The sequence below is a fragment of the Homo sapiens genome, chromosome 12 (genome assembly GCF_000001405.40).
Source record: "Homo sapiens chromosome 12, GRCh38.p14 Primary Assembly".
Lineage (NCBI taxonomy): Eukaryota > Metazoa > Chordata > Mammalia > Primates > Hominidae > Homo > Homo sapiens.
The window spans coordinates 39,822,467-39,835,441 of NC_000012.12; the positions used below are offsets into that span (position 1 = coordinate 39,822,467).

The following is a 12,975-nucleotide window of genomic DNA, read 5'->3' on the forward strand; positions in this document are numbered from 1 at the left end:
CACCAGCCACGCATTTTCCTTTCTCTTGTTCTCATTACTTTCTCAGCCCCCTTTTTAATAAATTCCAAGCTCCCCAGACTTCATCTCTGCTGTACACCTTCTGATGCTTACTTGCCCCAATGTTTGATGAACCAAGGTTCACCACCATTATCTTACACTCACCATGCACATGGAATTCAAGCTTTGGCTTTTATCCTTATAATAAAAATCTTAGTCTTCTTTAATCTTCTTTAGTGAGAAATAACTCACAGTCTACTTTTCAAAGGAAATATGAAGAAAAATGTTAAAAATGTAAAAGGAACATGGGTTGACTAGAAATATTAAGTTTGACTGAAAATGAAAGGTAGTTAAATATATTATGAATATCGCTACTTGGATAAAACTGTTAACAAGTGTTTATTTATTATTACAATTAAATGTCAAGTAAGAAATTCGATAAATTAATATGGACGAGGGAGATAAATTACTCAGAAGTGTTTTGGTCTTTTGATTTGTAGACTTTGCAACATAAATAGTATCCGAGTCTGCAATATAGTCACTAAATCCAAGGGAGTCTAAATTTCTGAACCTGAAAAAGTAACAGCCTAGAGGCATGTGATCTCTGAAATTATTTATGGGTAGATGAAACTTCCAAACACATAACATGCAGCTACAGATACTAAAGAGAATAATCTACCATAATGACTTCTATTTAAGCAGTAACATAAAAAAGTATAATTTTAAAAGTCAAATGGATTAAAATATTCTATATCAGACACTATACTTCTCTCTATAAAATTTATGTTGGTAAAAATTAACTTTGAGCTACATTGTTATTAATTTAGGAACACAGCTGGAGGTTTTTCTATCCCTTATGTGACTAACTGATAAAAATACATCAATCCTGTACATGAGTACCTTAAGATACTGATGTGGTTTGTCAATGATAAAATAAATTTCATTTTCTAAATACAAAAGTGATATCTCTTTTCAAAAATTTTAAAGAGGTTACAAAGGAAAACTCCCTCTGTTTTTGCTATTTGATATAGTTTTGTAATACATTTGGTCTTATGCTATCACCATAGATGAACTGCTTCCCTGGCATATCAGTGAATATTTTCAGGAAATATGCTGAATATTTCTTCTAATAATCTTTAGCCAGGATGATGATGATATTATTATTATTATAGACGGAGTTCTGCTATGTTGCCCAGGCTGGCTTTAAACTCCTGGGCTCAAGTGATCCTCCTGCTTTCACCTCTCGAGTAGCTGGGACTACAGGAATGTGCCACCTCACCTGGCTTCTTCCAATAATTTTTAAGAAGTGTTTTTCACAAAGTATGGCTCCAAGCAATATTTTTGCAGTGATATACTGAAGCACATGGTTAAGTATTATTTTTAAATTGTTTTTTAGTGTTTTTATTACTACAGGTAAACATTAAAATCTTTGTGTTAATGTAAATTGCATTACTTCAATTTTTTCCTAAGTTTCCTTTCCTGGAAATAAGTATGGATGCAAAAGATGTAACTAAAATGAAGTGACTGGAACATCATATCCTCTCATTTATAACTGTGATAATTTTAAACCCTTATATATTTTTATAAGTATGGATTGAATACTTGATGTATATAAAACACCAAAGGTTTAAAAACAATGCAGAATATAGAAATTAGAATTTATAATCTAGAAGCAAATATACATTCAAACACAGATGGCTATCATATAAAAAATATAATTATCATATAAACTATACAGGTATCATTCATTATTCAGGGGTTTTGAATGGTCCTAGTTAACTGGCTTCCCCAGTGGCAATTTTTCTTCCAATGTGGTCTGATTCACATCAAAGATGAGACTTAGATACCGACTGATATTGAACATCAGCAGTTTATTCTAGCAGCGCTCTTACAAGTTGGATAATGGGAGCAGGTGGGTGGCATGAGCCAGATTCAATCAGGGGTCAGATGACCACCCATCCAAGAGGGTCTCCATCTGGAGACTATTCTCAGAGCTTGGGGGATTCTTCCCCTTTCTTATACCTGTGTTCAATCGGAGTCAGTTACCAGGTCTTTCATTCATAAAAGGAGGTTAAGCTAGTCTTGTAAGGGTAACTTTGTTTAAAGGTTTGTAAGAGTTGCATCTGTACTGAGGTGGACGTGTCTCCTGGAAATCTCCAGGCCAGGTTGCCTCACACTGCTACTGCTAAGTGGCACATAGTGTCAGCCCTGTGAGGTGTTCCAGTAGGACTTACAGCTATCATTCATCTTATAGCCAGGAAATGTCTCTCATAGTATGCTACATCCAGGGGAGTGCTAGAGGGCAGCAGGAGATAGAATAAGCATTGTTTTCTGGGGCTTATCACAGAAACTGCAAGGAAAAAGGGACATCTAATCTGAGCAAAAAAAATAAAATAGACTTCAGGCAGAGATCAAGGAGGGTAAATTCTAGACAGAAGGCACAGTGTGAGAAAAGACATAGAGACAGGAAATTATAATAGATATTAGGGTAATGACAAGGGATTTAAACTGACTAGAATCTGTGTGGGAGAGTGGTGAAATGCTGGGAAAACAGGCTGGGTGTTACATCAGAGTGCAGCTTTGAGAAAAATATCTCTGCTGAATGAATACGGTAAACAATGAATTGCCAAATAGGGAATCTATCTAGCTATTTTAGTGTTTCTAATTACAGAGCTAAAGTGCTGTATTATAGGAAACAAATACTGAATCAGCGCATTAAGAAAGTGTCCCTCATTAGCAATACTATTTTAAATAGTCAGGAGGTTTGAAGTTTCAGAATAGATTATTTAAGGTTTTGTATATATGGAGAGTCAGGAGGTAGGGAGGCGGATAAATAGACACAGATAAATACAGAAAAAAAATTCTAATGCCTGATTTGTCAATAACATACTTTCTTTAACTTAGAAATTGGAAACTATCTGAATCTAAAATGTGTGTCTTTCCACTACTCAGTTGCTGCTCCCCTATAAGAAGTGGACTTACTGGCCTTTTGACTTTGAGAAAGTCATTCATACCTTCTAAGCGACACTATTCTCATCTGTAAGTAGGGTATAGAAATCACTTACTTCACAGAGGTTCGGAATTGGTTCTGGAAAGTTACATTTTTTCTTGAAAACTGTCCATTTATCTGTTTTCAAATGCACTGGAGAACACGGTTCATAGTATTCTCTTATGAATTTAAAAATCTTTACTATCCATTATTATACATCTTTTTTATTCTAAATATTGTTTGTGCCTTCTCTCTCTTCTTGATTAGTATTGCAAGAGGTTTCCACATTTTATTAGTCTTCTTTAAGAACTTTTATTTTTTGATCCTTCCGAGTATTTCTTTGCTTTGCACTTCCCATCCTCTGCTAACTCTACAGGCTTACTCTATGTTCTACTTCTAACCTCTTGTGGATCTGTTTAGTTATTAATTTTAACATCTTGTTTTGCATTGTGATTTCTTCTAAACCTATTAATTAATTTGAAGTTGCTTTTTGGGTGTTTTGTTTATTTTAGTTTCCCAGCTAAACTAGAAGGGGTGATAAATATCTTTCTGTTGTTTTGTAGTTTTATTGCATTTTTATTAGAAAACATGTTCTGGATGATACTGATTATTTGGATTTACTTATAATTTACTGAAATATCTATACATTTATATAAGCTTACTGAATTTACTGTTTGTGCTTGAACATGGTAAATTTTCAGAAGTGTTCCATGTTTTCTTAAAAAGAATGACATTCTCTACTTTAGGTTCTGTTTGACTCTCCTATCAAGCTTGTAAATTTTCTAAATAGTCTCTGCTTGTTTTTGTTTTTTTGACTTAGTACTTATCTAATTTTTTCTTTCCTCTTATTTCTGTATTTCTAACCTTTCTGTGACTGTCTCCTGTGAACAGCATACAACTGTATTAAAAAATTCAATATGAAGATCTTTGTCTTTTACAACTGTGTTTAATTGGTTTATTTTTTATTGTAAAAACAGTTATATTTAGATGTAATTTTTCTGGGTTTTTTTTTTTGCCCCTTCTTCTCTTACTATACTTTGAGTCTCTTATTTCTCCCTCTAACAGTTCATATTTTAAGAGTTTACTCTTATACTTGTAACATCTATATTTAACAAATTGAAAAACTAATTGTAATCTCAATTTCTTTCTGAAAAAAAATAAAAAGCAGAAAAATTTTAAAAACTCATTAGAAGGCTTTTTTCTAAAAGTTCTCATACCACATCCTATGTCATTTCTCTAAAATTTCAGCTTCCCAAGTTTTTTTTTTGCAAAATTGCTGAATTATAACACATATATATGTCATATAAAATACACATATATACTGCACCAATCATAAGTATATAACTTTCAGTATAATTGAAAAATACACTATTTCCTTTATTTCTTTTAAAGTCTCTTTCAATTTTTTTTTTTTTTTTTTGCAATGCAAGGTTCTTTATGTATTCATTTGTCCATCTGTCACACCTGGTGGCTTCCTTGCCTCCAATAATTGGTGTCGTTTCTATTAGGTTGGTGCAAAAGTTAACTGTGGTTTTACCATTACTTTTAATGGCAAAAAGTAATGGTAAAACCGCAGTTAACTTTTGCACCAGCCTGATACTCTCTGACTGTCCTCCTGTATTTACCAACAGTTGCTTCCCATGGACATCTCATGTACACTGGGTTCTGATAATTCCATGTGGATTCCTAACATGCCTCTATGGATGTCTCCAGTTTAGGACCTACTTTTCATTCAATTTATTTATTTGTTTACGTTTCTCAACTCATGGTTCCCACTTCACAAAGGCAGTGTGAAATGAGAACACACACTCCCTCATAGCAAAGGCTCTTGGTTTTGCTTTTTCATGTGTACCATTATTTCCATTTGTAGTCCCAAATGAGCAGCAGAGAAGTAGGTAGCTTTCCAAGCCCAGTCTAGCCAGATTTTTTCTTGTCCCTATTTCAGAACCTGGATAGTGCTTTGTAACTACAGAGGCAAGGCCTGGAGCTTATCTCACTCAGCATTAAAAACTCTAACCTCTCACCTGTAAGGCTTATATTCGCTTCTAATATTCCCATGTGGGCTCACCACTTACACTCTTTTGTGACGCTTGGGGATTTCTTTCAAGTTCTGCTGTGCATTAAACTTGTATGTGTGTGGGATGCATGTTGGAGGTGTAGGGGGAGGTTATGGGCAGGAGGAGATTTTCCTGCAGCAGCTCAGTCTACTACATTTTCTAGAAGTCTGCTAAATAATTTTTTTAAGTTTTCATTGAAATTTAACAACATAGATATAGAAAACCATACTGATGGACCTTTGAAGTTTTGTTTCCAACTAATCTCATAGTTGATTATATGTACAAATGATTTTCATTATATTGACAATTCAGAGTTCATCAACATTATTATACTATTTCCATCATTAATGGTGTTGCCATTCCACCTGGTGTCTTTTCAGGAAACAGCTACAGTTAGAGATCAGGATATATGGCTATGGATTGCCTCAACACTCGACCTTGAAATATCTAGAGATAGTATATCTCTAGATGGGAATCCAAGGTCATGGTTGACTTTGCCCTTAGAGTTCCATTCCAGGTAATTGTATAAAATCTATCAACCAAACCACCAATCAACCAACAAAAATACTATTATATATACTGAATATTATTTTACCTACATGTGGAAAATCTATCTGAAGAATTTTTCATGGTGAACACATCCTGCCTTTTTGCTCTTTTCTAGCCAAGACTAAGGAGGTAACCAATAGCAGTGGTCCACCTAGAAGGAGCACCGTTGCTCAGCACAGGGAGGAGTAAGAAAACATTTTTTTCTTTCTTTTTTTGTAAAGAGTTTGAGACTATTGTAAGGATATGCTGTGAACATCATTTTTTTTTTAGTTATTTTTATTTTTGCTACTTAGTTATCTGTGCCTTACTTTTCTCTAATTTATGTGCAGTTACAGGATGATGGTATAAAAATACAAATAAAATGTAAGAGTGAGTTGTTGAATTAATTTTTCTGAAATAAAGGAATAAACATTTCTACTAAAAAGTTGTATGATTTGTTATTTGCAAAAAAGCCAAAACTCCTGCTTTGAGGCCTCTGACCTCTAACTCTTCTACTGAAGGTAAGAGAAACATCTAATTTTAGTGTCTCTTTACTACTTAGTAGAGTTCTAATAAGTTTATAAATTAATTATGTAAAATACAGGAAACTATGTACATTTCTTTTTTTAACAGATTTCATAACATGTTTATAATTCTAGACTAGTAGTAACTTAGTTTTTTTTTTTTCCTATTGGCAAAAACAAAACTCTAAAGGTTTAAAGCTGTGAACAAGTACATCTAGAAATATTTAATCAATTAACTCACTAACAAAATTTGGCTGATAAGAACTATAAACTGAGTATTTTTAAAAGAAACTCTTTTGAGTGTTCATTTAAAACACTAATTGTATTTCTTTTACATATTTCTTTGTAATTAGTATATTTAAAATGTGGTCTGGATTTTTACTCAACTAACATATAATTTACTTCTTTGGAGCAGTTCTCTAATGAAACAATTATTGCATTATACTTTATAGCTCCTATGAGACACAATACTTTATTACAGATTTCATTGCCTTTATCAGTACTATGAGTAGACAAGATAAGAGAATATTCTTTTATAGGAATTTAAAACACAAAATAGATTAAAGCCATATCAGATAACATTTACACATTTTATATGTCTGGATATAAATGTTAGTTCATAAATCTGGAGAATATTTATTTTATACTAATATTTCATTTATGCATGTACTACAAACCAAAAACATTAAGGTTTCTAGCCTCCCAAGCCAGCTACATGCCAATGACTACCAAATTTTATCCTTATTTTGCTTAATTTCACTGAACCCTGGAAAAGGCCTCTAAGAATAAAAAAAAAAAGTTCCATAAAAGAATGTAATGTGATAGTAATTCTTTTTTTTTTTTTTTTTTTTTTTCTTTTTTTTGAGGCAGAGTCTTGCTCTGTTGTCTAGGCTGGAGTGCAGTGGTTTGATCTCAGCTCACTGCAATCTCTATCTCCCAGGTTCAAGTGATTCTCCTTTCTCCTGCCTCAGCCTCCTGAGCAGCTGGGATTACAGGCATGTGCCACCACTCTCAGCTAATTTTTGTATTTTTGTAGAGGTGGGGTTTCACCATGTTGGCCAGGGTGGTCTCGAACTCCTGACCTCAAGTGATCTGCCTGCCTCAGCCTCCCAAAGTGCTGGGATTACAGTCGTGATGCACTGTGCCCAACCTAACGTGATAGTAATTCATTTTGACTTTACAGTTTTCTTTCATTTAAAAGCTTGGGAGTTTGGAAATACAGTGCAATTAAACAATATGCAGTGGGAGAAATTGCCTTGGCAGTATTTGTGAATAGCTGCCTAAAACTAAAGATCCAAACTCCTATACCTTATTAGAGAAATCTGGGTCTCCAAAAGTCTAGGCCTGAGTGCTTTCTACTCTGTGTGAAACACACAATTGCAATGCTTTGCATCCACTATCACCAGTATATGCTGCAAAGTAATGTAGTTATGAAGGCCAGTTTAAAAGAACTGCTATAAGTGCAAGCACTCTGAAAACTTAAACATAAGCCTCGTTTTGAAATATTATTATATATTCGTATGGTAAAATGAGTGATATACCTGCCCCAGGCTGCCTCATTTGTAGATGCTTTATTAACTGGAACACAGGAGGAGTCAATGACAGTTGATTTGTTCATCTTGTAGCAGAAACCGCAGTCTGGATCCAACATACATTCATTACAGTAACTGAAAAATGAAAAGAGTTACCGTCATGTTGGCAGAGACAACTGGTGCTCACCATATACTGGATTCCATGTGCTTCTCTGCATTTTCCACTCTCTTGTGCAGTAAGCTTGGGGCCTTGGGACTTGTTTTGGCCAAGGAAAGTGACATGCGCTGAGCCAGGTGAGAGCTGGCTGGTCTCTTCGATTTCTCCCTCTTTTGGCCACAGCAACTTTGGAAGTCACTTTGAGCTGAAGGAGGCTTGGATCTGAGAGACTGAATGTAGAAGAGTCCCCATCAATCTGGAGCAAATAAACTTTTGCTTTCCTAAACCACTGAGATTTGTTACCAAACTGTAGACTGCCTCATTGTGATCCAGCCCTGACTGGTTCCAAGTTGCATCAAAGCATTCATTTCTCTCAATTGTCTACCTCATACACCATCTATTTTAAAAAATGAAAATAGTTTTTTTTTCTAATACATATCCTGAAAAAGAAAATTCAAACAACGAAAAACATTATGTCTAAAGAAAACAGTTAAATAAAAATACTACTACTCAAATATGGCCATTGTTAACATCTTGGTGAAATCTGTGCTTTCAGCAAAGATATACTGAGTATCAATTATGGATTATTCTGAATTTAAAAGAAGTAGGTATAGAAACAAAGGCTAACCATCCCCTAATCACATCTGCTAATTGGATCACAAAGTCATAATCAGTTACTCATTGCTCATTTGACAGCAGTATTCTAACTGCAGAAAAAATTTAAAGAAGCAAAAACCTTTAGAGGGCAGGGTTTGCCAACTAAAGCCTACATCATGCTTATAGAATGAGTTTTCTCCCTGTCACACAATCATTTGCCAGAAAATTCTGGAGCACTTTACAGATGGCAAGCACATGCAAGGTATCAGAGATACTAAAGATGAATAAGCCCAAATCTCCCTGCTCCTTGGTAGATAAAAGGCAAGAATGAGAAACAGATGAACAACGACAATGTAATGGAAACTGGGTATGAGCTACCTGGAACAGGGGCCCATTCATTTTAACGATGAGAGCTGGGAACCGTTTTAAATGTGACATTGAAACCGAATCATAAAATAAATTTACCAGGCCAAGAGGTAGAGCAAAGGGCATTTCAGAGAACTGCTTATGTTGTCATTAAAGATCAGTCAGCACAGACTTATTAAATATTTACTGTGTACAAGTCGTGATACTATGGGTTGTGAAAGGAGAAATAGGTCATCTGAAAAAGACATCCAAAAGACATACAAGTTGTCTGAAAAGGATATGAAAGAATATTTCTTAATGTTCAAAATCAAAACACTTTTTTGATTCATGTAACTAAATATGAAAGCACTGGTGATAGGGTTTTTATGTTGGTCCTTTCCAAATCTCATCTTGAATTGTAATCCCCAAAGTTGGAGGTAGGGCCTGGTGGGAGGTATTGAATCATGGGGGAAAGATCCCTCATGAATGGTTTAGTGCCATCCCCTTGGTGATGAGTGAATTCTCACTCAGTTCACATGAGATCTGGTTGTTAAAAAGAGCCTGGAACCTCCCTCTTCTCTCTCTTGCTCCCACTTTCACTATGTGAGGTGGCTGTTCCCCCTTAGCCTTCTACCATAAGCTTCCTGATGCCCTCACCAGAAGCAGATGTCAGCACCATGCTTCCTGTGCAGCCTGGAGAACGATGAGCCAATTAATCCTCTTTTCTTTATAAATTGCCCAGTCTCAGGTATTCCTTTATAACAACAAAAACAGACTAACACAACTGGCATGGTTTAAAAATTAGATTTGTTATCATTTCAGCCTTCTCCCTCCTGTAAACTCTTCCTGAGTCACCCCTATTTTTGAATGACACTTCAGCCCTAGACAAAAAGCAAAAGAGAGGCCATTCAAATGTACTGAGAGGTGATTCAGCAATGTAAATATAAAATTTTCCACACTGGTGATAAGCACACTAAACTAGACAACTGAAGGCTTTAGAAGTAAGTACACTGAGTGTCTGGCTTTGAGAACCAGACTAGGCTAATTTGGAAAGGAGATAATTTCTACTAGTATTTTGTTTTGTATTCTGCCCATATGAAGTTAAATTTAACAATACTAATTGTTCCAATGGCCTTAAATGATACTCATTTGGGAAAGGTCAACTCACTCATTTGCAGAGAAATTATTCTCAATTTTATTTCTCCGAAAATATGTAGTCCCTAGAAAAGTTCAAAAAGCATAATGATAAAGGCTAATAATTACTGAGAACTTATTGTGTGTGCATTTCAGGCATATGAGATGTCATCCATAACAAATAACTTCCTCCACCACTCATCCAAGCGTGACCCCAACTTCCCACTTTTCCTGCTTGCTTATTAAATGATCTTCCTGTGACCTACTATGTGCCACACACTATGCTAGGTGCTGGGACATGTGAGTGAATAAAACAGTCACTGCCCTCGTGAAGCTGATTTGGGTATTAGACCTCCTGATGATCACCAGTTAACTGACCCCTCTACTTGCTATTATCAGTTTTCTCCTTTCTTTAGCTTACTGACCACTTCCCATCATTTCAATATCCTGAATTTCCCTTCTCCTCTATCATTCCATTATACCCATCTGGTAAAAATCCTAGCCCTATATGAATGCAAACATTTGCCTTATCTGTGACTTCAGCCACACAGCCAAATGTAGCTGAAGGAGTCACACTATAGAGCAGATGAGTAGCTCTTCTATAATTCATGATCACCAGCCTCAAACGGATTCTCAAAAATCCTGATCTAGATGGCTTTAGTCAATATACACATCTTAAAGTTTCTTAGCCCCCTGATTTCTAAGTCTTTACTTCTGCTTACATTTATCCACATCCTGGAAATTATTATCATCTATGACCTGGCATCAGCAAACTACAACTGTTGAGAAAAATCTGGCGTACCACTTACTCTGTAAAAAAGGTTTACAGAAACACAGCCATGTCCATTTCTTTACTTATTGTTTATGACTGCCTTCATGCTTTAAGGACAGAGCTGAGAAGTTGTAACAAAAATGATATGGCCTGCAAAGCTGAAAATATTTCCTATCTGGCCCTTTTAAAGTTTGCTGATCCCTAATCTAGAACACCTATATAGATCCCCTGTGGAGATATTTCGCCCTTTTTTTAAATTCCCTAACTTCCTTACTCCAAGAACAACTGCTCTGCTACCTCAAAGAGACCTTCAACATTCATTCCCCACTGATCTCTCACTCACTCCATGGCTCTGCTTCCCTCTCTATGGAACCTTCATGTGAATCCTTCTAACCACTCTCACCAGATCCTCAATGTCTTCATATTTAGGTTTCTCTATTAAAGCCACCCTGCAGAACTTCATGTTTGGCTCTTTCTGAACACTTTTCAACCTCTAGACTATTCTGTACTGGCAGAGAAATAACACAACCAGGCATATTGATACAAATACACATTCAAAGTTTTCAACCTTGGCTGGATACTCACTGTTGCCAGGAAACTTTTCCTGTCCCCAATAATAGATAGATTTCCCAAACACCCACAATTCTCTTCAAATCTCAATCCTTATTCCTCCACAAATTTCTTAGAAGATGGCCTTGTCTTTGTTGGGGCTCAGAACATGCTGCTCCATAATATGGCACCTTGGAGCTCACACCCTAATCTTTTCCACACTTTTGCCTCTGAAGCATGGTCATAAAAAAAAAAAAAAAAAAAAAATCTCTGACCTACATCCTCCGAAAGTAGGTCGTAAGACCCTCAGTCTATAGGGTTCCTTCTCTATATCCAGAGGCCAAGAAGAATCTGAACAAACAGGCCTCACTGAGTTCTTCCCAGGTTATTACTATTAGATCGTACCCTTTTGTTCTCCACTCTTATTTCCAACAACTGTTCATAAAAATATATAGTTTTCCCTGGGTGCAATCTTCATGCCTGAAGGCTGTGTCACATAAAACTTTGGTTAAATACATTTGTTATGCTTTTCTCTTGTTAATCTCTCTTTTGTTACAGTAATGCCCATTATGACTCTTGAGATAGGTCAAAAAAAGATATTATTTTTTCTCCCTTACATCTTCTCAGCAAAAAACTGAAGGGACTAGGCATGAATTTTCTCACATTTAAACTCAGAAACAAAGATTTCTACATCCATATCTGTCCTCACCTCTTTTCCTCCAGGCTCTGAAAACAAGTGTTCCAAGTCATGGACCAAACTTTTAATTTCATTTCTCTGGCCATAACCAGGACCAACACCAAGTCTCACTAGTTATTTTCTTCCCTTTATCCTTTCAAATCTCTCCCAAAACATACTCCATAGTGTATGTGCAGGCGTAAAGCCTTTCTTTTATTAAAAAAGCATGAAAAACTATTCCTTCTGCTACTCCATACTGCCCCTCCATACCATTTCGTTCAGGGAAAGGAGGTCAAGTATCAAAAAGTGTTCAATTTCCTTTCCATTCCAAGGAGTGGGGCTCGGTGTGGGAACTGTATTTGTGCTAATCTGGACTAAGCCCTTATCTGCCTCTGTCTTCTGGAGGAAAGACAAGATTTCCTACCACTCTTTCATCCTTGACCTGGAATTGTTTTTTCATCATATAGACTATTTTATGGCAAAATTCTTCCAAATATTACAAGATTCCCAACTTCAACTTGACATTTAGAAGGTGGCACAAAACTTTAAATATCCTGGGGAATCTGCTAATTGACCTTTTACAGAGAGCATGTATTATAACGACAGCTTTAACAATGGCATTTTTAAAAAGGAACAACTTCTAGGAATGGCTATTACATTTTTCACTCAAGATTTGCTCTTTAAGCCTTTCTTGAACGTGGCCTGATGAATTTCGGTAAGGTTTTCTAAATATAAAAACTGAGAATTTAAATACATTGGCACAAAGTCAATGCTCATAAGAATACTCTAAGCATAGACTAAAATCTTTTCTTTTGGTCTATTTTGGTGAAAAGCAGATATTAGGCCTATTTGTCCCCTTCCACAGTGTGACCTGGACTAAGGTCTAAATTCTAGACTTCAAAGTTTTCTATCTCAAGAGCACACATTGTCTAACAATCCACCCAGTTCTAAGATTGTACATGAAAGAAAAAGACAGAAATACCTATGATCTAACCCTAAATTCACACAAACCTTAACAGTGTAAAAACCTATTAGAATGCTGCAACTTCTCACAAACATTTACTCTTACATACTAATTTCAAGGGCAGAAATTATAGGTATGCTCTACATTAAGAAAC

At 35.6% G+C, this 12,975-nt stretch overlaps 2 protein-coding genes across 7 annotated transcripts in view; one reads left to right on the plus strand and one right to left on the minus strand.

Annotated features, from left to right (window-relative positions):
* Positions 1-12,975, plus strand: part of REDIC1 (regulator of DNA class I crossover intermediates 1) — a 282,118-nt gene that overhangs the window by 196,284 nt on the left and 72,859 nt on the right. The gene's annotated exons all lie outside the window — the stretch shown is intronic.
* Positions 1-12,975, minus strand: part of SLC2A13 (solute carrier family 2 member 13) — a 351,057-nt gene that overhangs the window by 67,442 nt on the left and 270,640 nt on the right. For 4 of the 6 annotated variants that reach the window (NM_052885.4, XM_017018765.2, XM_017018764.2 and 1 more), the window contains one exon: positions 7,637-7,762. The exons of 1 other annotated variant lie outside the window; for it this stretch is intronic. In NM_052885.4, the coding sequence (NP_443117.3) occupies positions 7,637-7,762 (126 nt within the window). Of the gene's footprint in view, positions 1-7,636; positions 7,763-7,814; positions 8,015-12,975 lie in introns of all 6 variants that reach the window. One more of the 6 variants, XM_047428235.1, reaches the window with a different exon arrangement.